At 41.3% G+C, this 27,995-nt stretch overlaps 1 protein-coding gene and 1 long non-coding RNA gene across 2 annotated transcripts in view, besides 1 other annotated feature; one reads left to right on the forward strand and one right to left on the reverse strand.

Annotated features, from left to right (window-relative positions):
* TMC3 (transmembrane channel like 3) overlaps window positions 1–25,518 on the reverse strand; it is a 43,126-nt gene extending 17,608 nt beyond the window's left edge. The window contains exons 1-11 of the mRNA NM_001080532.3: window positions 25,294–25,518; window positions 23,896–24,042; window positions 19,558–19,633; window positions 13,525–13,606; window positions 10,670–10,776; window positions 9,707–9,805; window positions 9,454–9,596; window positions 7,752–7,899; window positions 7,030–7,073; window positions 2,999–3,146; window positions 763–872 (exon numbers count right to left, since the gene is read on the reverse strand). Of these exons, the coding sequence (NP_001074001.1) occupies window positions 763–872; window positions 2,999–3,146; window positions 7,030–7,073; window positions 7,752–7,899; window positions 9,454–9,596; window positions 9,707–9,805; window positions 10,670–10,776; window positions 13,525–13,606; window positions 19,558–19,633; window positions 23,896–24,042; window positions 25,294–25,382 (1,193 nt within the window). The 5' untranslated portion in view covers window positions 25,383–25,518. The remainder of the gene's footprint in view (window positions 1–762; window positions 873–2,998; window positions 3,147–7,029; window positions 7,074–7,751; window positions 7,900–9,453; window positions 9,597–9,706; window positions 9,806–10,669; window positions 10,777–13,524; window positions 13,607–19,557; window positions 19,634–23,895; window positions 24,043–25,293) is intronic.
* Window positions 1–27,995, forward strand: part of TMC3-AS1 (TMC3 antisense RNA 1) — a 118,744-nt gene that overhangs the window by 24,363 nt on the left and 66,386 nt on the right. Inside the window, exons 4-5 of the long non-coding RNA NR_120365.1 lie at window positions 9,641–9,808; window positions 13,224–13,341. This is a non-coding gene — a long non-coding RNA (TMC3 antisense RNA 1). The remainder of the gene's footprint in view (window positions 1–9,640; window positions 9,809–13,223; window positions 13,342–27,995) is intronic.
* Window positions 7,771–8,270: an enhancer, noted in NCBI's record as "H3K4me1 hESC enhancer chr15:81648807-81649306 (GRCh37/hg19 assembly coordinates)". NCBI's record gives its function as "activates a minimal SCP1, AML or CMV promoter by ChIP-STARR-seq in naive H9 embryonic stem cells {active_cell/tissue: H9 hESC(naive)}" and the evidence as "EXISTENCE:reporter gene assay evidence [ECO:0000049][PMID:30033119]".

The following is a 27,995-nucleotide window of genomic DNA, read 5'->3' on the forward strand; positions in this document are numbered from 1 at the left end:
CGTCTGGAAAAACAACATGGGTCCCTCTCACCACTCAGAGTTAAACCACGGAGAAAACAGAACAGTGGGGAAAACCAGACACTGCCAGACCTCTTCTTGGTTCCCTTTTGTTCATTTGTTTGTTTGTTTGTTTGAGATGGAGTTTCGCTTTTGTTGCCCAGGCTGGAGTGCAGTGGTGTGATCTTGGCTCACCGCAACCTTGACTCAACCTCTGCCAAGCGATTCTCCTGACTCAGCCTCCCGAGTAGCTGGGATTATAGGCATGCGCCACCACGCCCAGCTATTTTTTAATTTTTTAAATTTTTTTTTATTTTTAGTAGAGACAGGGTTTCTCCATGTTGGTCAGGCTGGTCTTGAACTCCCGACCTCAGGTGATCCACCCGCCTCGGCCTCCCAAAGTACTGGGATTACAGGCGTGAGCCACCACGCCCGACCCTTGGTTCCCTTTTGTGTCCTCTTTTTCTGCCTGTTCTTCCTTTATTCCTTTCCCTTCTCCTCCTCCTCTTCTTCCTCTTCTTCATTTCTTTTCTTCTACCCTTGTCATCCTGGTCCTCCTCCTCCCTTCCTCCTCCTCTTCCCCTGCCTCCTCCCCTATCCCTCCTCTTGGGTTATGCTTTTCTTGAGTTGCATCCATAGGTAAAGTTCTGTGCTGATTGTCTGAGAGAAAAGAAGCAAGCCCTGGCTCTTGAGGCACTTACATTCCCACTGTGGGTGGGCACATGGGTGAGCCACAGGTGGCATTTCTGGGCAGGACTGTTGTACCTTGCAAGCTGGAAGCGCAGCGTGGTCCTGGGGTGGTACATCTCTAAGGCAGCAATGAGGTCAAAGGCTGATGGTGCTATCATGGTGACGAGGGAGACCACCACACTGACCTGCTGAGAGAGCACATGCCAGAGCCAGACATTCCCAGGACCCCCCACCAGCCCTCACCATGTGCATTTGATCTCTTTCCCTAATATTGGATCAGTGGCTTTCCACAGGGTCCTTGGATCCTCCATGGAAAATCCCCCCAAATCTCTGCTAATTAACTTTTTTCAAAAGGCGGCCACCACTTTATCATGGTCTTTTTTTTTTTTTTTTTTGAACTCTCCTTAAATGTTCTGAGGACACTCATACATCCCATTTGGGATTCACTAGGCCAGGTGCTGTGGCTCACACCTGTAATCCCAACACTTTGGGAGGCTTGTGAGGCCCAGGCAGGAGAATTTTTTGAGGCCAGGCATTGAAGACCAGCCTGGGCAACACAGCAAGACCCCATCTCTACAAAAAAAAAAAAAAAGCTGGCATATGCCTATGGTCCCAACTCATTGGGAGGCTGAGGCAAGAGAATTGCTTGAGGCCAGGTGTTTAAGACCAGCCAGGGCAACACAGCAAGACCCCATCTCTACCAAAAAAAAAAAAAAGTGGCACATGCCTATGGTCCCAGCTTGTTGGGAAACTGTGGCAGAAGAATTTCTTGAACCCAGAAGTTCAAGGCTGCTGTGACCTGTGATTGGATCACTGCACTCCAGCCTGGGCAACAGAGTGAAACCTTGACTCAAAAAACAAAAAGGATTCACTAGCATTTCTGCCACATTTTCCCCAATTACCATCTCACAGTATTTATACTTCCCTGACCTTGGATGGAAGATGGAAATAACTGCAACTATTACCAATAGAAAAGGAAAGCCTGAGAGGTAATGTAATATTCTTTCTGTACATGGAAGATTAATTATCTAGAGAATTAGGCCTGGCTTTTGTACTTAGAGCAGAAGAAAGAGGAGTTTTAGCTGGTACAGAAGATGTTTGAGATAAAATAAGAAATAATTTCTGAATATATCTTTCAAAAACTATTCATATTTCTGTCTGTAAACATACAAGCACACAGCAACTCAATTGGCATAAAATAGAGGCATGGGAAAAGATTATCTAGGGTGGGCTCAGATTTTGATAAATTACTGTACATTGATAAATATGCACACGGTAAATTGATGGCCATCTTACACATCTTTCTTTTTAAATCCCAAAAGAGGGAAATAATTTTCATAGAAATGGTCAGAGAGGTGGTTTTTGTGCTATTTCTGCCTTTCAAATCTGTATAGATAAATTGGGCCAACCTTTCAGGACAATGGTCTTAAAATGAATATTTAGAATTCCAAAATTGTTCATAACCGTTCACTTGGTGATTTTCTATTTATGGGAATATTCACACAACGGGGGTTGGGGGGGAGAAGATTGTTTAAAAAACAAACCATTTGTGTAGAGCTGGTTCTGGAAGCATTATTTGTCATTTAGATATTCAGAAACTACCTAAATATTCACGAATGACACCTGGTCAACTTTAATCCATACTATGGAATAAGTGTAGTTGTTAATTCCAGTCTGCAGGAATGTGGAACATGGATGTGAAGAAACAGATGTGCAAAAGGCAAAACACAGTCGGTGAGGCTCAAAGGTAGAGAACGGTGTAAATGCTTGAAGGTGTTTTTGAATCAAACTCTTTCCCAAAGGAGATGAATAAAATTGCCAAGCCTTAGTGCTGCCCCTCTGGCTCAAAGTCCTTATAGTCAATGCTCTAGGACAAGAGGACTAAAGTTTTTTCCTAGAGATATTCCCACCTAACTTACATAAGGAACAGAGAGGCAGGCTACTTTTCTGTGTCTCTCTCTCTCTCTTTTTTTTTTTTTTTTTTTTTTGAGACAGAGTCTCGCGCTGTTGCTCACACTGGAGTGCAGTGGCGTGATCTTGGCTCACTCTAGCCTCCGTCGCCTGGGTTCAAGGATTCTCCTGCCTCAGCCTCCTGAGTAGCTGGAACTACAGGTGTGCACCACGACGCCCAGCTAATTTTTGTGTTTTTGGTAGAGATGGGGTTTCATCATGTTGGCCAGGCTGGGCTGGAACTCCTGACCTCAAGTGATCCACCTGCCCCAGCCTCCCAAAGTGCTGGGATTACAGGCATCAGCCACTGTGCCCAGCTATGTCTCTTTTCTAGGGTGCTGCAGGTAATGGCAGTGGGTACCTCATTCTTTTCCCAAAGTGTCAGCTCCTTCTTCGACTGCTCCAGCTTCTGGGACCGGTCCACCACAAAGTAGATGAGATAAATGCTCCCAGCCAGTGAGAGAAGCACCAGGATGTTGGCAATAATCCTCAGGCAGATGGTCACTGCCCTGGGGAGAGAAACAGGCATGAGAACGGTACACAGGGTCCTGCTCACAGCACCACGATGCAAAGACAACACTACTTGGGGACTGGAACACATCCATTGCCAAGAGGATTCTCTGCCCTGAAGCATCAATGCACTTCCAGCCCACCCCACCCAGCACCCTAGAATTCCTCATTTTCTAAGAGATCAACGACCAGTCATAAATTCAACCAGCCTGCATCAGTGGGGTTTGAAACAAACAGACGAACAAATAAACGCCTCTTGTTTTAGAGTCAGAGTATTTGGGGTTCAGTTCTAGCTTCACTACTTGAAATTGGAGTCTTGTGGTATGCACATTAAAGATATAGGAATTCAAGTAAATGTGTTCAGCAGAGGGAGGGAGGAAGGAAGGCAGGGAGGAAGAGAGGAAGGGAGGACACATGATTCTGCCTGTCATCCCATATAATGAATCTGACATTGTACAGTCATGTGCCGCATAATGGCATTTTGGTCAATGACGGACTGCATATATGACAGTGGTTCCATAAGATTATATTGGAGCTGAAAAATTCCTATGGCCTAGGACATTGTAGCATGATGCATTGCACTCACATTTGTGGTGATGCTGGTGTAAACAAGCCTACTGCACTGCCAGTTGTATAAAAGTATAGTACATACAATTATGTACAGTACATATTTGATAATGAATTAAATGACTGTTACTGGCTTATGTATTTACTATATTTTTTAAATCATTATTTTAGGGTATACTTCTACTTATTTAAAACAAAATGTTAACTGTAAAACAGCCTCAGGCAGGTCCTTCAGGAGGCATCCAGGGTAAGGCACTGTTACCATAAGAGATGACACCTCCGTGCGTGTTATGGCCCCGAAGACCTTCCAGTGGGACAAGATGTGGAGGTGGAAGGCAGTGATATTGATTATCCTGACTCCGTGCAGGCCTAGGCTAATGTGTGTGTTAGTCTTTTGTTTGTTTGTTTTTTGTTTGTTTGTTTGTTTGAGATGGCATTTTGCTCTTGTTGCCCAGGCTGGAGTGCAATAGCACAATCTCGGCTCACTGCGACCTCTGCCTCCTGGGTTCAAGCGATTCTCCTGCCTCAGCCTCCTGAGTAGCTGGGATTTACAGGCATTTGCCACCACACCTGGCTAATTTTTGTATTTTTAGTAGAGACTGGGTTTTCCCATGTTGATCAGGCTTGTCTCAAAACTCCTGACCTCAGGTGATCTGCCCGCCTCGGCCTCCCAAAGTGCTGGGATTACAGGTGTGTGCCACCACATCCGGCCTGGTCTTAGTTTTTAACAAAAAAAGTGTAAAAAGTTAAAAAAATTAAAAATAAAGCTTATAGAATAAGGATATAAAGAAAAACTGTTTTTGTACAGCTGTACAATGTGATTGTGTTTTAAGTATTACAAGAGTCAAACAGTTTTTTAAAATTTAAAAGTTCATAAACAAGTGACAGTAAACTAAGATTAATTTATTATTAAAGAAACTTTAAGAAATAAATATAGTGAGGCCTAAATGTACAGTGTTTATAAAGTCTACGCTAGTATGCAGTTGTGTCCTGGGCCTTCACATTCACTAATCACTCATTCATTGACTCACTCAGAGCAACTTCCAGTCCTGTAAGCTAATTCATGGTAAGTTCCCTATACAGGTGTACCATTTTTTAATCTTTTATACCACATTTTTATTGTACCTTTCTATGTCTAGATATGTTTAGATACACAAATACCATTGTGTTACAATTGCCTACGGTATTTAATACAAGTAGCATGCTGTTCAGGTTTGTAGCCTAGGAGCAATTGGCTATACTATATAGCCTAGGTGTGTAGTAGGCTATACCATCTAGCTCTGTGTAAGTACATGCTATGATGTTCACACAAGGACAACATTGTGTAAAGACACATTTCTTGGAATGTGATCCTGTCACTATGCAACATCTGACTATTCCTTTGGTAGTTTCTTAATTGTCTTTTCTCTTTAGAAGTAAGCTCTAAGCTTTTTAGCCTTTTTCAATGCTGTTATCTTCAGCTCTTAAAACAGGCTTAGCATATATGGATGCTTCATAAATATTTGCTAGATGAATAAGTAAATAAAGGAGCAACTAATTGCCCATGAGATGGGAGACACAGGGCTCATCTCTTTCCTAATTTGGTCTCACTTCTCATATGCCTCTGATAGTGAGGGCAGGTGTGTGAATCAGTAATGATTCTAGTACTTACATACATGTTTCTGGTTTTAACTGAAACATATCCATTTTTTTCTAACACTGGAGGACAACTCCCTGTCTGACTTCAATTGGCCTATTTTGAAGGCACCTTCTTCTGCCAACTTTGGAGCTTGTCTTAGCCTGGCTAAGGCCTGGAATCCCAGTCCTTTTTGCAGATAGTTTATTTGGGAAGTGATCTCAGAAAGCAGGAGTGGAGGTTGATCCCAGAAAGCAGGAGTGGAGGTCCTGGAGTGGAGCAGGAGAGAGGGGCCATCAGTACAAGGATATGCAATGGGGTTGGCAGCAGCTAGAGGCAAATGCAGGGCCTTCTGAGGGGCTTATGAAATGCCTGACAGAACTGTTTGCCCAGTGTGAAATAGGAAAGCATTTCTTCTATTCCCAGCGGTTCAGGGTAGCTCCATGAGCATTCACTCCCAGCATTGCACCCAGCCTCTTGGTTGCACGTGCATGTGTGTTGACTGGGATCTTGTGGGTTCCCTATGCAGCAGCCTCAGAAGATCCCTGGGGCACCAAACAGCGGGTACGAGCAAGGGGTACATGTGTGCAGCTGGTGGTGGCCTGCACAGTCCTGCCCAGTAGCAAGGGCTGGAGAAAAGTATGGCCAAGAGGATTTGAAGGGGCACCCAAGGTATACTATCTTCTCCATGAAATTTCTACCCACTGGGGACCTTGGGCAGATCACAACTCTTCCCTCTACACATGTTTTGGCCCTTGATTTGCACAATGAGGAAACATTCCCAAATGAGAAGATAAATGTCACTTTGCTTGGTAAAAATAACAACATGGCACAGTATGTTGTTATTATTATTATCAACTCTGGTGGAGGAGAGCTACAGAAAAAGAATCAGATGGCAGAATCCCATACTTTTATAGGTGAGGAACTTCAGGTTCATGAAGTTCAGGAGCATTTCCCAGGTTATCGACATTAATGACAGAGAGGACTAGAATCCATGTCTTCTGACTCCCTATGGACAGCCCTTTCCAACTCCTCCCCCACTCCCTAAGCTCCCTCATTATTCCAGAGGCTGGGTGTGTTTCCTTAATTCCCCATGTCCTTTTGTACAAGTCCTCCGAATGGGCTTTCTGCACTGTGGAAACTAATCATGAGGGCTAAATAACCAGTAAGGATGTGGGATGAACAGACCTACCTGTCTTCATGAGGTCAGGGCCATTGCCCTTCCCTGGGAATGGCTTTCCCTTTCATTAGTTCTCTGTTTGAAGGGCTTCACCCTCACCAGCATAGCTCTCAAGATCTTGAGAAGAATCTTGAACCTAGGAAATCATCTTGAAAGGCTTGTGAACACCAACTGGATAATATTTGTGTCTTATGACTAGTTTCTAAATAAAACTAGTCTTAACAGCATAAGTTGGTGCTCAAAATACCTCTTTTATTATCTAAGTAAAAGAGTAAGAAATAAGAAACTGGTCAATTTCAGACCCTGTGACCCTTGTTACAGGATCTATGGAAGGAGGAAGTCGTCCTAAATATTGCTAAGGAAAAAATCATTCAGTTCCCTCAGATCACATTATGAGAAAGGAAGAAAGAAGAGCTGCCTGACAATTATGAAAATAAGATATAGATGATCTGGTAGTTTTTGTACCAAACTAAAAATAAAACTTATCAATGAATTCAGCATGGGGAGTAATAATACCTACAGGTTTTTGCTTTTCTTTTTCTCCTGTTCTTCCAATATAGCTTCCTTTAAGAAAAATACATACAGCAATAAAAGCTTAGCATCATCATTAATTATAAATCATTAGAAATAATTTACCCAGTAATTTAGCTCATACCTTCATTGTCTAAGACTTTATTCTGTAGGATTCAATTGATATAAATGAATTAGATATCAATAATCTAATCAATTGAAAAAATATTGGCGGTTGGGAAGAGGGATTGGGAGATAGTATGGCTGTAATTTAAATTATCTAAGTAGATTTTTTTTCTCAAAATAGTGCACCATTTAGCTGTCTGTATAGTTCAATAGAGCTAAGTCTCTGAATATTTTTGATTGCATTATTTTCTAAGTTAAAAGTAAAAGCCTATATCCCTCACATATATGTATTCGCTCATTTTCAGGTTATATACATGCATCATGGTAATAATCCATTATGTAAATTATCTAAAATATACAAACTGAAATTTTAAAAGGATAAAATGGAAAAGTTTAAAAAGAAAGGAGTTTCAAAATGTTTCTCCCTCCCTTCATTGAGTTATTTGGTACATTTCCTGGAGCATGTTCACCTCACTTTGGAAACAACTGCCCTGGACAATGAACATCAATGGGAAGAGGATGGTTCTGGCTTCCAGCTGAGGGCCAGCGGCTGGCTCTGACCCTGAGCTGCCCACCCCCGCAGGCTGCACAGGCTCACTCACTCACCCTGATGCTGTTCACTATGGCAGCTGTTTTGCTCTCTGCAGCCTCTGGGTTTCCAATGAGGTAATCCCAGGCACAGAACACCCGCCAGCAGAAGGTATAGTTTTCATTGGAAGCACTGGCAAGACTCGTGCGGGAGTTCTTAGCCATCCTGCAAAAGAGGAGCACAAACAGGTCTTGGGAGTCTCAGGAATAGGGGGCTGTAGCTAGCACCCATGGAGCCTTTGTGTGAATTAGCATAGGCTGCACCCCTCTGGGTGGACGCAGCTCCTCGGGTCACAGCTTGGACAGGAGAGCACCGACTGGATTTCTGCCCATGCTTGTGACCTCAGCAACACTTTGGAACAGTGTGAAAACTGCAATGGCCCATTATTATATGAGTTCATTTGACAAGGACTCCCACCACTGTGGTGCCCAGCAGGTCACTGCAGGTGTGTGTGCCCCAGGAGCCAGCTGTTCTCATCTCTTTGCAGCTGTGATTGTGAAATAAAATTTTCCTTTGAATCAGTCTTCTTGGAGCTCCTTCCCATGGGAACTCCACCCCGTGGGACTCCACGTAACGTGCTGAGTCCCTCTTTCCCACATTTCTTTAGATATTTGAAGGCAGGAGTCATCAACCCTCCTTAGGTGAAACTCTCCCTACTTTTTAGAGCCTTTCTCCTGTAATAAGCTCTCCTCTCCATCCATATTTCTTGCTTCCAAGTTTGCTCTAATCTGTCTCTTACATTGTATGTCTAGTAAAGGGCCCGAGTCTTCCATGTGGGTCCTGGAAGCCACCAGGAGCTAAGCTGGAAAGCTTCAGGGGAACTGAAGGCCCCTAGGTCATTATGCACCTCCTCAAGTTTTGTTTATTTGTTTATTGTCTTTTTTTACCCCAAGTGCTTCTATCTGCATTTTGCTAACATGCCACAAGGGGGTTGGGCAATGAAGGGTGGTTACACAAATCAAGCAGAAGCAGCAGATGAACCAGCGTGGGTGGGGCCAGCTTTTCCCCGGGATTTGGAGCCTCCTTATCAGTCTGCATTTCTCTAGCTCCCACACGGAAGACCTGGTGATGTTCTGAGCCAACCTACCCATTTTACAGATGAGGCTCAGGGAAGGAAGGTGAGTTCCTACAGGTCTCACAGTCGGGGTGGTGCAGAGCTCCTAACCCCCACCAGATTGCGTCTTTTGCATTTTGCCTCCCCAGTGATGACCTAGAGGTGCCAACTGCATCACAGCACAGACAAGCCTGGCCTTTGCAGAATTTGTAGCTAGGTCACAGGCAAACAAACATACAACCAAAGGAGGACCTTTTGCTTTTTGCAACCTCTGGTCACCTAGATCATATTGCTTATGTCCCTATTAGTGCAGCTACCACATTGTCTAAAATTACATGAACTGGTAAATCCATATGATTCTTGTATTTCCAGGCCCAATATAGGACCTAGTACAAAGCAGTAAGTGTTCAATAAGTACTTGTTAAAATGAACATGCCTCTTTTAGCCTTGGTTCTTCTCATCTGTAAAATGGATACAGTTATGCCTTAACTTTACAGGGCTATTGACAAGATTAGATGACATTACACATATCATAACACTTGATATGTATTTTGAGAAATCAAGCAGTCATACTTTTTTAAAAGAATGATGAAGCTGTAAGAAAATACTTCCATTACACATATCATAACGCTTGATATGTATTTTGAGAAATTGAGCAGTCATACTTTTTTAAAAGAATGATGAAGCTGTAAGCAAACACTGCCATCCCCACTAGGAAATACGCCAAGGGCAGCCGGTAGCCAGCTCTCCCGATCTTCCTCTCCCTGCCGTAATATCCGTAGAAGAGGACAGAGTACTGGAGGTAGCCCTGCAAAGAAAACACTCAGTGTCATTTCTGCTTCCCGTTCCCAGGTCTCAGAACTGTGGCCCATTCACCCCTTCCCTCAAGACAAGAGTGTGGCCAAGCATCAATCTCACCCCCAGAGACCAGACGGTGTCCAGGTCTTGGGCAGACGAAACCTGCTCCTTGGGGATGGTCTTCCTGGCTGTGCTTCCAAAGGGCTGGCCTGCAATCAGCTGGTGAGAGAAGAAAGCATGTCATGTGGTCCTCTGGGTGGGAGGGGACCGGGAGAAAATGAGAGGTTGATCTCCATGTGCTTGTGAAAATGCCACACATAAGAGATCTCCAGGGGGTGGATTTCTGCTTGATTTTCATTAATGAAAAATTAATCTTGGGCGGCCAGATTTTCTTTTTGCCTGATTAGAGCTCACCTGGATGTACTCTCTCTGAGCTAGACATGGTTTCTACAGGTGGATTATTAAGACCCCTGTTGGGAAATGGCCCATTTACTTTTTGAGGATGAAGTTTAGTTGAGAAATGGATTTTATTTCTTTATGTAAATGTAAGGGGCACGAGTGCGGTTTTGTTACATGGATACATCATGCTATGGTGAGGTCTGGGCTTTAGTGTTCCCATAATCTGAATAATGTACACAGTCTGGGTATTATTTCAACTTTGGGCTGGCAAACTGGCTGGTTGGCCAAATCCAACCCATGGCCTTTTTGTATGGCCCAAGAGCTAAGAATAGTTTTGCATTTTTAAGTGGTTGGGGAAAAAAATCAAAATAATTTATATAAAATTCAAATTTCAGTATTCATAAATAAAATTTTATTGAAACACAACCACATCCACTGGTTGATATACTGTCTGCAGGTGCTTTTGTGCTACACGGCAGATTTGAGTCATTGTGACGGACACCAAGTAGCCCATGAAGCCTAAAGTATTTATTCTGTGGTCCTTTACAGAAAAAGTTTGCCAAGCCCTGCTTTACACAAACACATATATTTTCATCCCCACAATGATAACCAGAGGAGCCATTTTATGCGACTGCTGTAATGTCTCCTCTTTGTAATGAGTGGTACTTTCCTGAAACATCTTACCTCTGGAATGACAATAAAAGCACCTGTCATAATGGTGAGCACAATATTAATTCCAAATAACCATCTCAAGAATATGAAATAGGAGGCAACGCCAGATCCAAAATGACCTAAAGAAAGACAAGATAATGAGAACAGTTTAAATAAAATCCTCATAGTGCAAGAAATCCTACAAAAAGAACACCATAATTTTTTTTACATCCACGGGACATAGAGTAAGAATGCCATTATTGTACCAATCGAGGTGTTCCTTCCTAAATGTTAACTCAGACAGATCAAGATGCCCCTGAATATCTATCAGTTCTATAGGCAGGAAAAGTCTCTAGTTTGCCTAAAATGCTATTTGATAGTCACTTCCCTAATGACTTACTTATCTAAAATGGTCTTATCAAATTTACAATATTTCATGTATGTTAACAAGTATCAGCATCTTTTAAGAATTTGGCATATTTCTTATCTATTTTGCACCATTTTGAGAATTTCAAGGATTTTGCTAAGGGTCTTTTTGCCTTAATTTCAAGATAAAACACCATTTGCTAGATGTTCACAATAGTGGACCGTGGGTGAAGGGTACACGGGAATTCTCTTTCCAACTTTTCTATACATCTAAACTTATTCTAAAATAAAAAGCATAGTAAAAACAAATTTATATCTATTGAGAAAATCCAGGAGCATAGAAGAACTCAGATGAGGATGTAGGCAACAATTTGACAGCATTCTGGAGTAGGTAGTTTTATGTCATTAAAAAAAAAAACTCTTAAATTTTTATTTCAAATCTAGTTTATGTTTGTCATAATGAGTAGCAAAACACAAAACATCACAAGGACAAGAAAAATTACCCATTCTGTGATCACTAAATTAAAATCACGATTAGAATTAGTTTCTATTAAACTTTTAGTGTAACCCTCCACAATTATTCTATACAAATAATGTTTTTGTATAAGATTGGCATTTCTCTCCAGCATACATCTTAAATTATCAATATATTACAAGCATTTTCTCTTGCCAAAAATACTCTTCTATAAAATAAATTTTATTGTTCCATTAAGTAAATTTTCCATAACTTACTTAAACTATTCCCCATGACTTGACATTTAGGACATTTCCAACTGTTCACCAGGTTGAATAGTTCTATAATAAATAATATCTGTCTAAGGTAAGGTTTCCTAGAAGCAGAGCTTGAGAAAGGGATTTGGCTACAGGTGATTCGTTGAGGAAGCACTCTCCGTAGAGAAGTTGTGAAGGAGTCAGGGAAGGTCGGGGGAAAGAGCCAGGGAAGGGCACGATCTTAGCTGCACCCTAGCTGAGTCTATCCCACCAGCAGTTCTGCAGCATGAATTGCACCACTGAGTTGGTCCCACTTGGAGCAAGGGATCAGACTTGAATGCCCCTCTGTCAATGGTCACTGCCTCTAGACTCTAGGTGGTGAGTGGGCGATTGGGGTGATAGGAGGTAGTCCTGGGGCAATTCTCTGAAGGGGAGCAGCTGAGTGACAAGCAGTCCATACTCAACAGCTGAGGAAAGGGTAGACTAGCCAAGGAAGGGCAACCTGGGTACAGCACTAATGGCAGCTACTACAGCCTTGTTTGTTTAGTTTATTACGGTTTTCTCTTTTTTTTTTTTTTTTGGAAACGGAAGCATATTACCAAGGTATACAACATTTTGAAGACTTTTGGTACATATTAAAACTTTTTAAAAAAGAAATACTGTCCTAATTTACATTTCTGCCAGCATATCAAAGTGCTTAATCCATTTAAATATTCAACATGTTTTTCCCAATTTGTCATCTAACTTTTAGCTTTACTTTTTATGTATGTAAGTTTTCTTTTTTTAGGTAATTAAAAATAACAGTACTTTTTCCTCCTTCACTTTTATGATTAGATATGTCTCCATTCTGCATTCATACCATCAATTTTAAGTGAAGGAGTTAAACTTACTCTTTAAAACAATTGAATCAATTGTTCCAGTGATATTTATGCAGTAGACTGACTTCAATAATTATTGCATGCTAAAAGTCTAAGTGTATTCCTGTCTGTCCCTGAATTTTTTGCTTACTCCTTTGATTTGCCCATCAATTCCCACACTATGCTATACTGCTTCAATTGTTGTACCTTTATGATATACTTTAATATCTTGATCATGCAACTTCATTTGCATTCTTCTTTATAATTTTTTTATTAATCTCTTGGATATTTTTCCTTCCATATAAGTTTTATGATCATTTTGTTAAATACTTGGTAACAATACATTGAGATTTTTATTTGATTGCATCAAACTTGTAAATTAATTTTTGGAAAATTAACATCTTCCAAATATTAAATCTTCATATGTGTTTTAACAAGACTTTTCTATCCTGTGGTATAATTTTACCACAGGATATTTTGGACTTATTGTTAAGTCTCTTCCAGGTATTGTGTGTGTCAGTGTGATCGTAGACATGATTTATTTATTTTTTGGCGTATGTTTTCTAAATGGGCACAATTATCTCTATAAAAATGCAGATTTTTGTATTTGTGTTTTGCAATTCCTTGAGCTACCCTCTTATTCATCCTCATAGGTTTTCACTTGATCCTTTCGGGGTTTGCATTATATCTGACTGAAGGAATGAACTGGGAGAGAACAGCAGAGCCGCAGCGGAATGTGGAAAGGCCCACGTCCAGACTGTTCCCATTCTGGTAGGTGGTGGGGGCAGGTATCTTGTCTTCTGGGTCTGTTGTTCCATATGGAGGCCAGTGACTCTGCTATGAGGGTGCCCTCAGCTGCACAGCATAAGGACCAGAACACAGCAGACTCTCCTTAGGCTGTGACTGGCCACTAGCATTGCATTCCTGCCCCACTCTCCAGGTGTAAATACTTACTCTCGATTTTCTTTATCCTCATTTCCCAGGGAATGAAGATGACCACAAAGTTACAGGCGAGACGAGCAAATTTCCGCCAGAGCTAGACAAGAGGGGTCAGGATTAGAGAGGTCACGTACATGAAGATGGCAATGGCTGTGCAGTACTAGGCACCTAAATGGAGTATACCAGACACTCCCTCTGGTACCTTTAATTATGATTATGGCTTCATAGGCCTTTAAGCTGCACTAGAACCAAAGTAGCTCCCTTGTCTGTGCTCCTAACCAGGTGAATGGACACCAGCTTTGGAGGAATAATGCAAGCTGCAGCCCCATATAATATGCACCTCAATACAGACACCACCCGAGCCGTGATGCCTGTATTGAAGTGGATATTCTATAGGGTTGCAGTTTGCATTAGCCATCCCATTCCTGATGAGGGGTATCTCTTGCTCTTTGAGAAAAAAAAATCTTTTTAACTTTTGGCAATTACATCTTAAAACCACAAGACACAGTACAAATTACTCGAGGAATGATATCTAAATAAATCCACTTGATCCTGTCATAAACCTAAGGGGATTCTGAGAGTGTGCCCCAGGAATCCAGATGCCTAACAGACTCCCCAGGTGATTACAAGTGCATCCCTGTTTAAGGACCAAGAGTCTAGAGCCTACCCTGAAAATGAGCCCCACCCTAATGTGTGACTCGCCTCCTGCTACAGCCTCTTTCCTGGATAGAGCTGTCAGGGATAAGGTCTAAAAATTTGTCTTGTATTTTTGGCCAGGCGCGGTGGCTCACGCCTGTAATCCAACACTTTGGGAGGCCAAGACGGGCAGATCACGAGGTCAGGAGTTCGAGACCAGCCTGGCCAATAAAGTGAAACCCAGTCTCTACTAAAAATACAAAAATTAGTCAGGTGTGGTGGCGTGCGCCTGTGGACCCAGCTACTCTACTGAGGCAGAAGAATCGCTTGAACCCGGGAGGCAGAGGTTGCAGTGAGCCGAGACCGTGCCACTGCACTGCAGCCTGGGGGACAGAGTGAGACTCCGTCTCAAAAAAAAAAAAAAAATTGTCTTATGTTTTTAAGATGCAATTGCCAAAAGTTTAAAAAACATTTCTCAAAAGCGAATAAAGCAAGATATGCCCTGACACTAGTTCTGCTTCCAACAAAGTTGGCAGGTTGTGCATTTTAACACACAAACAATCTGGGTTTGTGCTGGAAGCAAATGATATCATTGCAGAAAGAGGGATTACAAATGTAATTATGACATTCTGAACTATAAGACCACACATGGTCCCGGTACAGACATGTATGGTAATGTCATTCTGGACGTGTCTGCTGAGGCCAGAATGGCTGCTTGTAAATGAAAATCTGAATTTTATCAGAAGTTTATCAGAAGTTGTTCATCTTCTGTTCATGATTTGAGAGCCAACTCAAATACAGCCACTCCCATGAACACAGAATCTCTGTAGCCAGAAAAGAAATTCTCCTCTTTGTAAACTCCCCCAGCAATAATTTTTGGTCTCTCGCATAATGTTTATCATATCCTACCTTACATTACCTTAATTTTGTTCACCTGGCTTGTCTCCTAGGGCATAGAGAGGGAGAGGCAGGCTTTCTGATCATTTATTCCCCCAGTATCCCGAGGAAGGGGTGCACCATCATCCTTTGGCAAGGGCTTGGTGTTGGAAAGCATTGAGTCTCTGGCCCGTTTTAAAGCCCTGAAGTCTAAGAAGCACAGGGCGGAAAGCCAGAGACCTGAGTTCTAGCTCTAATTTCACATCTATCTCACTATGTGTCCCTGGGGAAGTTATTTTATTTCCTTGGATTCCATTTCTCCATCTGTATAAGAAGTAAGATTTGATTAGTGGCATTCAGAGTTCTCTTTAAATTTAAAGTTGTATGAGAATTTTCATACATGCAATGGGCTAAGGCAGGGCAACTTTTGTAGGTGGGGGTAAAAAAATCTCCCCCACCACCCCATCAGTAGTGCTTGAGGAGCCAGGGCCCTTGAACTCAGGTTAGAGAGCACTGGACTGAATGGCCCAAGATGCTCATTCTGGGAATAAGAGTCTATGCAAGTTGGCCTAAAGGAACTTCTTAAAGGAAAATGTGATTGAAAAAGGTGATTTGTTGATGACGTGTTCAGTAAGGCATGGGGGAAAAAGTTTCATGCTTCTCTGATGATTTATACCAAATCTCCACAGCAAAAGCCTTGAAACAGGAATAATTCAAAATTTAAGAAAAAAGCAATATTCTCACTCATAGGTGGGAATTGAACAATGAGATCACATGGACACAGGAAGGGGAATATCACACTCTGGGGACTGTGGTGGGGTCGGGGGAGGGGGGAGGGATAGCATTGGGAGATATACCTAATGCTAGATGACACGTTAGTGGGTGCAGCGCACCAGCATGGCACATGTATACATATGTAACTAACCTGCACAATGTGCACATGTACCCTAAAACTTAAAGTATAATAAAAAAAAACATTATTCCAAAAAAAAAAAAATAAAAAATAAAACTGTAATAAAAAAAAAATTTAAAAATCAATATAAAAATTCTGTACCCTGGTAGTGTTGCAAAAATGAAGTTCACAGTCACTTCAGAGTGATATTTTCTACAAATCCTCAAATAAATTTTGAAATTGAGCACACATATATAGGAATATGCTGATGCTTGTAATGTTTTCTTAATGTCACGAATTTTTTGAAAAAGGTTTTCTGCCATAAACCAGGGGCCTATATATGCTTATTATGTATAACAAACATGGTTTGAAGCAATGTTTCTCATGATTATAAAAGTAAATACAGTCAAGGTGTTGCCAACTAAACCTTGGGCTAATAACTTTATCTTATTATATGTCAGTATCTCCAACCTGTGATATATTTATAAAAACAAACGTTTCCATAATACTTTAACTCTAAGACCAGTGCTGTACTTATACTGAAAGTGAAATGTAAGACCTCCTATATTCTTCTCCTCTGAAAAAGTTTAGAGAGTTTTTCCATCCCTTGCATTCTAAAGTAAAAGGGGTGGGAGAGGAGGGGAAAATGAGACAGTTTAATTAAATGCAGTTGACTCTTCATTTGACCAGCATCTCTTGTCTGCTCACTGTATGCTAAGCACAGGGCTAGCCACAGATGGTACAAAGATGAATAAAGTATGCTCTTAAGAAACAGAAAAAAGGGCCGGGCGCGATGGCTTATGCCTGTAATCCCAGCATTTTGGGAGGCTGAAGCGGGCAGATCACAAGGTCAGGAGTTCGAGACCAGACTGACCAACATGGTGAAACCCCATCTCTACTAAAAATACAAAAATTAGCCAGGCGTGGTGGCAGGCGCCTGTAATCCCAGCTACTCAGGAGGCTGAGACAGGAGAATCCCTTGAACCCAGGAGGCAGAGGTTGCAGTGAGCCGAGATTGTGCCATTGCACTCCAGCGTGGGCCACAGAGCAAGACTCTGTCTCAAAAAAAAAAAAAAAGAAAAAGAAAAAAAAGAAAAAAGCAAAATCAAAACAAAGAAAAACTAAACTTGGAAGAAATAGATCCTAATTGTGGGTTTGGGTTATTGAGCTTTGGTAACTAAGAATAAGTTCTTTCTTTGGAAAGACTTACATGTCCACGCAGAAGATATTTAACAACATATATGATAGTTCATGAAAAGTATATTTATTCATAGTATGTGTTAAGCACCTAGATTGTGTTGACCTATCAACATGTCAACATGAACTATCATACATGTTGTTAGATATGTGATACATGCACATATCATTATACATACATATGTATGTATACATTTATCATTATACATGTATGTATCATACAGATCTAACAATATGTATGACAGTTCATGAAAAGCATATTTATTCATAGTATGTATTAAGCACCTAGGTTGTGTTTTCCTGTGAATGCAGATAGTGAACACGACATGCAAGATGTCAGCTGGTGTGGAGTTTGCATTCAGGTAGCAACAAGGCAGTCACAAGCAAGTCCATGCCACAATGGGACACAGTCTATTAGGACTGGAGGAAAAGGCCCTTTAAACAAGGTCAGGGAAGGTCTAGCTGAGGAGGTCATACTTGAGCTGAGACTTGAATGAAAAGGAAAATGAAAAGTAAATGGGAAGAGTGGCTTTCTAAAAGGGGAGAACAGCCAGTACAAGTTGTGGGTTAGCACGAGCTGAGCGTTTTACAGAAGAGGATGGAGGAGAGAGGAGCGAGATAAAAATTTGGATTACCTTACTGAGTGTAAAAACTCTGCTTCTAATAATTCAGCCCATTATCAAGTTATACCTTTAATAATACTGAGTTTACTATTGCTAAAAGTCTCAATAGCTTTTCATTGTTATATATATATTATAGGTCATTTGAATTCAGGTGAAATACTTTACTTCCTGTAGCACTTCAGCTTATTTAGAGAAAACAAAAGAGCTTGGTAGTTCATATGTCTACAAAAAGATAATTTATTTCATAAACTCCATCATAGTGTGGCAGGAATAAGGAGTCATGGATGATTTGGTCATAAAAACAGATTAGAATTGTAAAGAAGATTTTTGTGAAGAGTAAGAAGAAAGAATGCCAAGATGTGTCCTTAGGGATTCTTTGATAGTTTATAATTTTTCAGACATGTAAAATTTATGACCAGCTTTAATTTAAGCTATATTAAGAATATTTTTGTTTCAGAGAATCTAAAAAGAGTGTATCTGTCAGTTATTGTCTCTTAAGATAACAAACAAAAAATGTAATAATCAACATTGGTGCAGGTATTATGAGACTAATAATGGCGATATAAATCATCAAGGCTTTTAGAAAATAATCTTTAAATATTTATCAAAAGCCAAACAATGGACCACAGTCTTTTCTATAGGGATTGCAATTCTGGCATTCACCCTAAGAAAAAAATTCAAAAACATAGAAAAATCTATATGTGCAAAGATGTTCTTCGTAGGGCTATTAATAATAATGAAAAATTGGAAGCAATTTAAATATCCACCAGCGGCCAAATGACTAATTAAATTAATATACATTTATCTGATGGAATACCACACAGTCATTGAAAACCATTAAATATAAAAACTATATAGCAACATGGAAAAAATAATATAATGGTGTTATGTGAAAAAAGAGGCAAGACAAAAATGTATATACACTACAGTTATGGTATGAAAATAATTATGCAATGACTGATGTGAAATTTCTAAAATGACATTATATTGGGAAGTAGGGGGTATAGAAGGAGAAGTTATTTTTCTTTGTTTCTACACATTTATGAAATGACTTTATAAGCAGATAATTTTAATGTATACTTTTCATTTAAGTAACTGAATGGGAAAAATAACAAACAAAAACCTTAACATTGTATTATAAAATGAGCATTGGCATATACCTGCAGCTTTCTCATTGTAAGAAATACAGCTGTATACAGGGACACGGTGAATCAAACCTACGAATATGGGTGGGATTAACTCAGGAAAGGTGCTAGATCACTTTTGCCATCCTTTCTCCTGATGAATTAGGCTTACCCAGTTTCACACAATTGGGAAGGGAAGGCGTCTAGGACTAAAATTCAAGTCAGGAAATTCATACTTTTCAACTCTATCATCCTGATCTACAGCTGTATTATAGACTGGCACTCGCAACCTGTGTATGATGGCAAGTGTGATGGCAAACACAACCTCCTGGCTCTGGAGACCACAGTGCTCACATGTGTGTGTGTTTTTTGTTGTTGTTGTTTTGTTTGTTTGTTTTTTGAGAGGGAGTCTCACTCTGTCACCCAGACTGGAGTGCAGTGGCGTGATCTCGGCTCACTGCAACCTCTGCCTCCCAGGCTCAAGCGATTCTCCTGCCTCAGCCTCCCAAGTAGCTGGGACTACAGGCGCCTGCCACCACGCCCGGCTAATTTTTGTATTTTTAGTAGAGATGGGGTTTCACCGTGTTAGCCAGGATGGTCTTGATCTTCTGACCTCGTGATCCACCTCCCTTGGCCTCCCAAAGCACTGGGATTACAGGTGTGAGCCACCGCGCCCAGCCACATGTGTGTTCTGTATTACCTCTGCACCTGCTGCTTGGTAGCCTCGGGTCCTGGTCAGCCTCCCTTCAAACTTCAGCACAATGTTCTTCGCTTGTCTAAGAGAAGAAAAACATGATGGTGAACACAATTGTATCACACTTACAATTTCTGCAAAATGTGTAAAAATGCAACAGGAATAGGTTGCCATCTTGTCCTGAAAAATGATACAGCAAAAGATGCCATGAGAGAATGGAGTTACACAAATACTTCATGGTCTAATTTTTGGTAATCAGAAAACACCTTAAAATTTTTTTCTTTAATATTTAAATGGATACATAATTCAAAATGATGAATTTATACCAAAATTAGCTACAACTGAATTTCTTAAAGGCCTTCCCTGATTCTGGTGCTTGGCTGGGAATTCTGAGCTTTGGAAATCCTGGTGGCAGACACGTGCATCTCGGCCTCTTCACTTAGCAATTTTCCTCTTGCAGTCAATTGTTTAAAAGTGCAAATCAGACCTGGCTTCAGAGAATCTGCCTCAAGTAAAGGTTGGTGTCTGATTAATGGCAGCAAAAAAGTCATGTCTACATAGACATGAACAATCTGATTCACCCCAAACAAACTTCTAACACACTGATTGATCACTCTTGAATTAACCTGATATCTCTGCCTAAATGTTCAGTCCTGAAAATGGACTAAATATAATTGGGATAGACAGTTAAATTCATACCTTAAATGAACAACAGGATTAGAAAATAAATGTTAGTGCCATGGACAGACTGAAGTCAAGGGCTCTTAGAGAGAAGAATGTCACCTTCAAGGTAACCTAATCATATACCACCCCATGCAGAGATGCTCATTATCTGATGGTCGGATGCCCTCTGCTTGATTATGTTCAGTGTTGAAAAACTTAGTTCTTCTGAATTAGCCATTTTGCTAGTTTGACAGGTTTGATTGGGAGGGTGCTCTGGTCTGCGCATCACAGCAACCCCCAATAACACCCACTGGTCTGAGTCCTTCCTTGGAAAACACAAGGTACAAGCCAACTCCTTTATCCACAGACAGGATGATCTCTCCAAAACGTTACCTAACCAGAGTTCTTGGTTTTGGATCTCTCTTCCTACCATTGCAACGTCTCCATCTTAATAGCCCAGCCAATGCATTGACTTCATTCTGGCCAGAACCAAAATGTAGGTTAGGAGCAAGGTTGATGTTCTACCCCATACCATGACTACCATGTTGGGACCATCTTAATAGAGCTGTCTGCTGCAAGTTTTTAAAAAGTAAAAGCCTATTGAAGTCAAATAACAATTCATTTTATATCCTTATTTATTTTTTATTTTTTTCTGAAAATATTTAAACATTTTATGCACACCTATTTTGGGTCAAGCATAGTGGAATACAGAGTTGCCTAAAACAGAGTTTCTGCCAGGTGGGGTGGCTCACACCTGTAATCTCAGCACTTTGGGAGGCTGAGGTGGGAGGATTACTTGAGCCCAGGAGTTCAAGACCATCCTGGGCAATACAGTGAGATCCCATCTCTACAAAAATATTAAAAAAATTAGCTGGATGTGGTGGCACATGACTGCAGTCCCAGCTACTTGGAAGGCCATGGTGGGAAGATCACTTGAGCCCAGGAGTTTGAGGCTGTGGTGAGCTGTGATCCAGCCACTGCACTCCAGCCTGGGTGAGAGTGACACCCTGTTTCATAACAAACAACAACAACAACAAAAAACCAGAGTCTCTGCCCTGGAAGAGTTCACTACCTAATAGGGATGACAGAGACCTTTAAAGACAATGACTGAGAGACAGTGGGTGTGACAAGAGCTATGACAGAGGGGTGATTGGGTGTGGAGGTAGCAGGGAGGGGCGGCCCAAACCAAGGCCCAGTCATAGACCTATGCTGATTTCATAGGAACTGACCACTTGCTTCCTACAGGGGAAACAAGCATGTCCTATATCCTCTTAGACAGGTGGCTCTTGCTCCAGACTCAGGGTTAGCTCACTCTGCTTTTATCTGCATCCTGCTATGCTCCCTTGATTCTCAAGCAGTCAGGGTTCCGTGCTTTTTGCACCTTCCACAGAAGCACTGTGATGAACTTCAGCAAGTCCAATGAGGGAAGTGTTGCTCCAGTAGTTTCTCAAGGTGATGGAGAGGAGATATGCGTGGCAAGAGGATGACGGACGAAGGTGCTCAGAGGGCCAGCTGCACTCTGAGACCCTGGCCGCTGGCTGAACACATGGCCGGTGTCAGCCATCTTGGGGCTCTGGATGTGTTACATGGGCCAAGCAACATGGCAGAAGGCCTGGCTTATTCTTTGGTTTCTGAAGTGCCTTGACAGAAAAGTTACCATTTGCTCTGCTGTCCCCTCAAAGTTAAAGACACTTAACCAACTGTTATTCAGATAACAATTGATCATCATCATTTCGGGATGATTTAGCAAAATTCTAATAGAAACTATTTCTTTTTTTTTTTTTTTTGAGACAGAGTCTCTGTCACCCAGGCTGGAGGGCAGTGGCACAATCTTGGCTCACTGCAACCTCTTCCTCCCGGGTTCAAGCAATTCTCCTGCCTCAGCCTCCCGAATAGCTGGGACTACAGGTGCCTGCCACCATGCCCAACTAATTTTTGTATTTTTAATAGAGACAGGGTTTCACCATATTGACCAGGTGGGTCTCGATCTCCTGACCTTGTGATCCACCTGCCTTGGCCTCCCAAAGTTCTGGGATTATAGGCATGAGCCACCGCACCCAGCCAAGAACCTATGTCTTTTTTTTTTAAAGAGTAATTGCTCCAATGATTACTTTGGTTAAATTCCTGTGTTTCAATACAAGAGAAAACTGTACTTGGAATCAGAAATCCTAGATTTAAAGCTTAATTCTAGCACTCAGAAACTGTGTAGCTTGGGTTAGTCTCTTAACCTCTCTGAGTATCAACCTTCTTGTCTGAAAAATGGACATAATGCCATCCTTACTCAAATAAATGGAAACAATAGCAGCTGATAACGGACATGAAAGGCCCATGAAGGAGAATTACTTGGAACATTTTGAGGATCAAAACTATGGATGACTTCAGCTATCTTTCACAGTCACCTGCAGAAGAGGCTGGTCAGACTGGAAGAACATTACCTGGAATGCAAATCTAAGGAAGAAATGATTTGATGGGAAAGAAATGCAAGCCTAATACATGGTTGATGTGGAGGTAAAGAGATGTCTGCTTGGCATCTAGAAAAGGGCAGTGAAGATCAAGATCGGACAGTGGTTCTGTCCACACTGCAGGTGCCTGATGATCAGGCATAGTGTCTGCTTTGCCAGGAAGCTCCACAGCACAGGTCACAGTAGCTCAATGGTACAGGCCATGAAGGCAACTCTGCTAACTCCCTTTGCTGTGACCCCAGGCATCAGAATCACTATTCCTTACTCACTCTTAGTGAGTGACTGTTAAATACCAGATACAATGCTAAGCACTCACAGGGTTCATCCCATTTGATCCTTCAACAAACTGCTATCAGTGGATCTCAAACTTGAATGTGCAAAAGTATCAACCTGAATGCATGTTAAAAATACAAGGACCCTCTCCCTTGGTTTGATTCAGTAGGTCTGAGAGCAATCAGGGATTTTGAATTTTTAACAATATCCAGAGAGCTTAGTGGTTGACATTTTTGGAAACGTGCTGCAGGAAGTTAAGGGCTATTCCTCACCATCGCTTCAACTTTAAAAAAGAAAAGAACTGGTATTCAGAGAAATTAAGAAAATTAATATCACATAGATAGAAATTGGTAAAGGCAGTATTTGAATCAGGGAATCTATTTTTAAATCTTTAGCACTTTATTATATAGACAGACTATTTAATATGACTCTAAGTATCATAATAATCTGGCTTCCTATAAAGTCTTTTTTTTTTTAATTATTTTTTTACCCAGAGGGTGGTAATATCCAAGCAGCTAAAATGAGTATCTCTTTTCATATTGGCTTACTGCTCTGTTTCTAGTGAGCGAGACGAGCTTGGAGAGAATATTAAAATCTAGTGTTTAGAAAGGAGGTAGAAGATAAAAGACTCTCCACCAACACACACACCCCCAACACAGACACACAACTCTTTATACTCTCTCTTTCTCTGTATCTGTCTCTCTGACACACACACACACACACACACACACACACACACACACACACACACACACACACACACAGAGGAACTGGCTTCTGGACCAGCTAGACCTCTCAGATATCTTTGTGACTTTGCTAATTCAGGTCAAGAGTGACTGAGCCATCTCTCTCACATGAGTCTTTATCCTCGTTCCCATGGGCAAGGCAAGGTGGTTTATCGGAAAGCATGCTTGTAATGATCAATAATGGCCATTGAGGCCCTTACCTCAATGCCCTCAGCTTCTGTCCCATAGTCCAGGGTCTGCAGCGAATGTTTGCCATGAGATCTTTCTGGAACTGTATATTCTGGAAGATTTGTTCCGGATCATTGCTGTCCCCTGTTTCATCAGCACTAAAGCTGTCATCCAAGTTGCTGAATGATCAGGGCATTAAGGAGGAAATCTGATTAGAAGAATTGCTTCCAGCAAAGATCATCTTGCCCTGGGCACAAGTTCAGCATCTCACTGCCCTAGGGTCATCTGTATGAAATGTGTATGTGTTTGTGCGTGTGTGTGTGTGTGTGTGTGTGTGTGTAAAGTGAGGGACCCACAGAAACAGATAATTTGCCAGTGTCAGTAGCCTGTTGAAACACATTTATTGGATTCAATTACTTCCACTGGGTCATTAGAAGATAATGATTTCTCAGGGTGCATGATATTATCAGAAAACACAAGATGAGACAAGAGGGTATTTACGTACTCTTGGATTCCTGAGTAGCAGCAATTTGGGTAGGCAAAATAATTTCTTTTTCAGGCTCATTGAAATAATCAGCTAATTTTAGAGGCAGGACTCCTTATGTTACTTGAAGGTAACATAAATCAAAACTTCTGCCACTCAGAAACCCCTCTTCACCCTTTCACGTCAATTCATTTTAAGCCTGAGATAACCGAGGCAGAGCCAGGCAAAGCAATTTCTACGAGCGAAAGATTAGCTAAGCAAATTTACATGGGTGAGATATTTCAGGAAATAGATACTCTCAAGAGGAACAATTTTCCAACATGTAGCAACATTTACTCCCAGTTACACTTAATATGCTTATCCTAATGCAACATTTTGAGAGGAGTTAAGAGTATTCATCTATGACTATTAGAAATAAAAGATTTCGTTTGTTATTCTCTAATTCATGTTGTTTTTACTCATTTAGAGGAGAATTTTTTTCAATTTCACCAAATTAAATGGCAGCTGTACTAGACCTTTATAAATATTTAACAAATTCGAATAGCACTCTCATCCACTTCTAACTAGCCTGAAGGCTTTTCCAATAAACACTTTATTTATCATGATAGACATATTATCTGCTCTCTCTTGACATTGCTGATTGAGTGAACATAGAGAAAACAGGGAAACATATCTGTGGGTTTGGCCAGCCATAAAGCCAGGTTGGGATGCAAGCTTTTGGATTCTGACCTCCTGGTCAAGAAGCAGCCAGAAGAACCATTTCCCCCCATGCCCGTTGCTGAGGTTGCCATCCTAGTTGTACCACAACCTGGAGAAGTGAGTTTCTGAGTTCATTCTGAAGGACAACTGAGCAGGACAGGGACTTTGTCCCTCGCTCTGGTGACCCATGCATTCCTTCCTCACACACCTGACTCCTCTGCCCAGCTGATGAATGGGGCCAGCTCACCTGAGCAGCAGAGATTCCTGGTAGAGGTAGCACTGGCTGGCATTTCTCCGGATGCCTCTATAGCGCTGGGATGCCTTCGAGGTTTTCATGGGAGCTAACCCACTGCTAACAATCAGAAGCTGGCCAGAGAGCTAGGAAGTTGGCAGGCAAAGGTCTGTTCCGAGGTTTCTGAATGGAAGCAGCGGAGTTTGCTCTGCCCGCTAGTTCTCAGGAAGAAGACTGTGTGCTTGCAGCTGGTGCTCTGAGCAGGGAAGAATCCAGGAGGCCAGTCATGCATATGTAATGTTAAGGTGGCTGAGGCACACAGATTGGCTGGAGTCTAGACAGCCAAGGGTTTGGCCCGGTGATCTACACATCGCTTGGTGCTGTACAAATGATCACATCCGTTAACCCCTTATGCCCTGACAGTCCTGGATGGTTTGCAAAACACTTTACATCTGTGACCATGACTGGTGTTCACAAAACACTGAGGGAGTATAAAAGGCAAGGCTTAATTTCCCCAGTTTTTTACTCTCAACGAAGAGGCTTAGAGACAGTAAGGACCTTGCTTGTGTTCATACAGTGGAGTTGAGGAGAGGCACAGCCATCACATTTTATTTTTTCTTATTTAGTTTTTTCTCAACTTAGTTTCTATTTTGAAAAAAGTCAAATCCTTAGAAATGCTGATGGAACAGTACCAGGAATATCTGTACACTCTTAACCTAGATTTACCAATTGCCACATTTTGCCACAATTGCTTTATTTCTGTCTGTATCCTTCCCCCACCACACACCATTTGAAAGTAGATTGCAGAAATAATGATACATCAACCCCAAGTACTTCAGCATGATATTAATAATAATCAAATTAACATCTTATTACATTTTACCTTTACCATACATGGTCACATTAATGAGCACTATGACTCTGAGACTGAGGCTAAAAGAAATAAAGAGACTTCCTATAGCATTTGGTAAGAAAGGAAGACTTTGATAGAGATTAGACTCTCACCTCAATGTTCTGAAAATAGGTTGCCTGCTGTAAAATGGGATGAGTAGTTCATCCTAGTCCTTCAGCAAAGGTCAGCAGCTTCTCCTCCCCTTCCCCAGCCATCAGCAGAATGGAGCCCGGTTCCTTTGTCACCTGCAGACTCTCACTGTTAGCCATGCATTGGGATTCTGTTCCAAGAACCTCATTCCCAAGTCCAAGACTTGCCTGGTTTCACAGTGTAAACCTCTATTTGCTACTTAACACAAGAAATGGTTTGACTGCAGTGAGGTAAATTGCACCTTTGTAGTAACAGAATGGGAAGGTGCAGGACTGGAGTAGACATGACTCTTTCTATTGAACATTACCCACTGCACACTAAAGACTCAATAAATGGGTGAATAAATAACTGAAGTGGACACCAGACAACGGAGCAGAAAGAAAATCCATCAGCAAGTTCAGATGTGGGGCTTCGGAGAGAAACTTCATTCATTTGTCCATTCAATCCTCCACTAATTCATTAGCAAATAATTGGAAAGATCTTACCACACACTGAACTGGCAAATGTAAGCAAGAGCCCTAGCCCAGGGGTTCAGGACCATCAGGCAAGTGTTCAGACCTAGCGCTGAAAGCATGGGAACGAAGTGGAAGGCTGAGTGCCAGAGCTGGCCTTGGGTCAGAGATGGATCCGGAGCCTCTGGGACCAGGTCATCTGTCTGCCAATTTGCTTGAGGCCATTTGGCCTGATGCTCTATCTGGTAACATTAGATAAAATGTGTGCTTATCAAATGGACAAATGGCTTATACAATAGAATTACTGCTAGCCCCACTGGGATTTTTTGCATTCTTTCAGAGATCTTTACTTATCTCAATCATTCCTGAACATTTCAAAGATTTTTTTCGTCCTACTTTTTCTAAAGCCCCCCTGCCTTATTTTGAAATATTTACTCAAAAATTTAAAATATTTTATATTAATCTCACTCAAGTATTTTGAGTGTTTTTGTTTCCTTTTGATGTTACATATACATGTATATTGTAAGGGGAGGTAAGGAAAGGTAGCAAATTTTGCAGTACACAGGGATTTATTAAAAACAAATTAGAGCAAAATCAATCTTTTTAAAATTTCATATTCATTCAGGTAATTCTCTCTGGCACTATAGGTGAGATAAGTGTCAACCTTAAATAATGAGATTCAGAAAATTAATTCAGAGATTAAGAATAGAGTTTATTTGAACACAGAACTTGAGGGTAGCCACCCAGGAACCATCAAGTCCAAATAAATGGGATCAGCATTCCAAAGTGGAGAAGTTAAGGTTTTACTTGTATAGGCAGAGACAGAAATGTTAGCCGGATTACATTTTCTATATGAGACCAGTGCCTGTGGTTATAGATTGCTGCATTCTAAGGAAGATGACTTTATTACTCTGTGAGAAGGGGTAGTGATCCTGGTAGGGGGGTGTTATCTCTGATGCCCTTTGGCCTTTCTAATTATTTACAGGGAAGAAAAGGCAGAAGTTACAGCTGTGTGCCACATGACTCAGGCTGCAAAGCCACATTCTTCTCAAGGCTTAGAATAATTTCAAGTTACAACAGCATTAAGTTTAAGTTAATTTTAATAATTAAGTAATTTATTGGCCGGGCGCGGTAGCTCACACCTGTAATCCCAGCACTTTGGGAGGCTGAGGCGGGCCTCACAAGGTCAGGAGATTGAGACCATCCTGGCCAACATGGTGAAA

Source organism: Homo sapiens, chromosome 15, assembly GCF_000001405.40.
Source record: "Homo sapiens chromosome 15, GRCh38.p14 Primary Assembly".
NCBI lineage: Eukaryota > Metazoa > Chordata > Mammalia > Primates > Hominidae > Homo > Homo sapiens.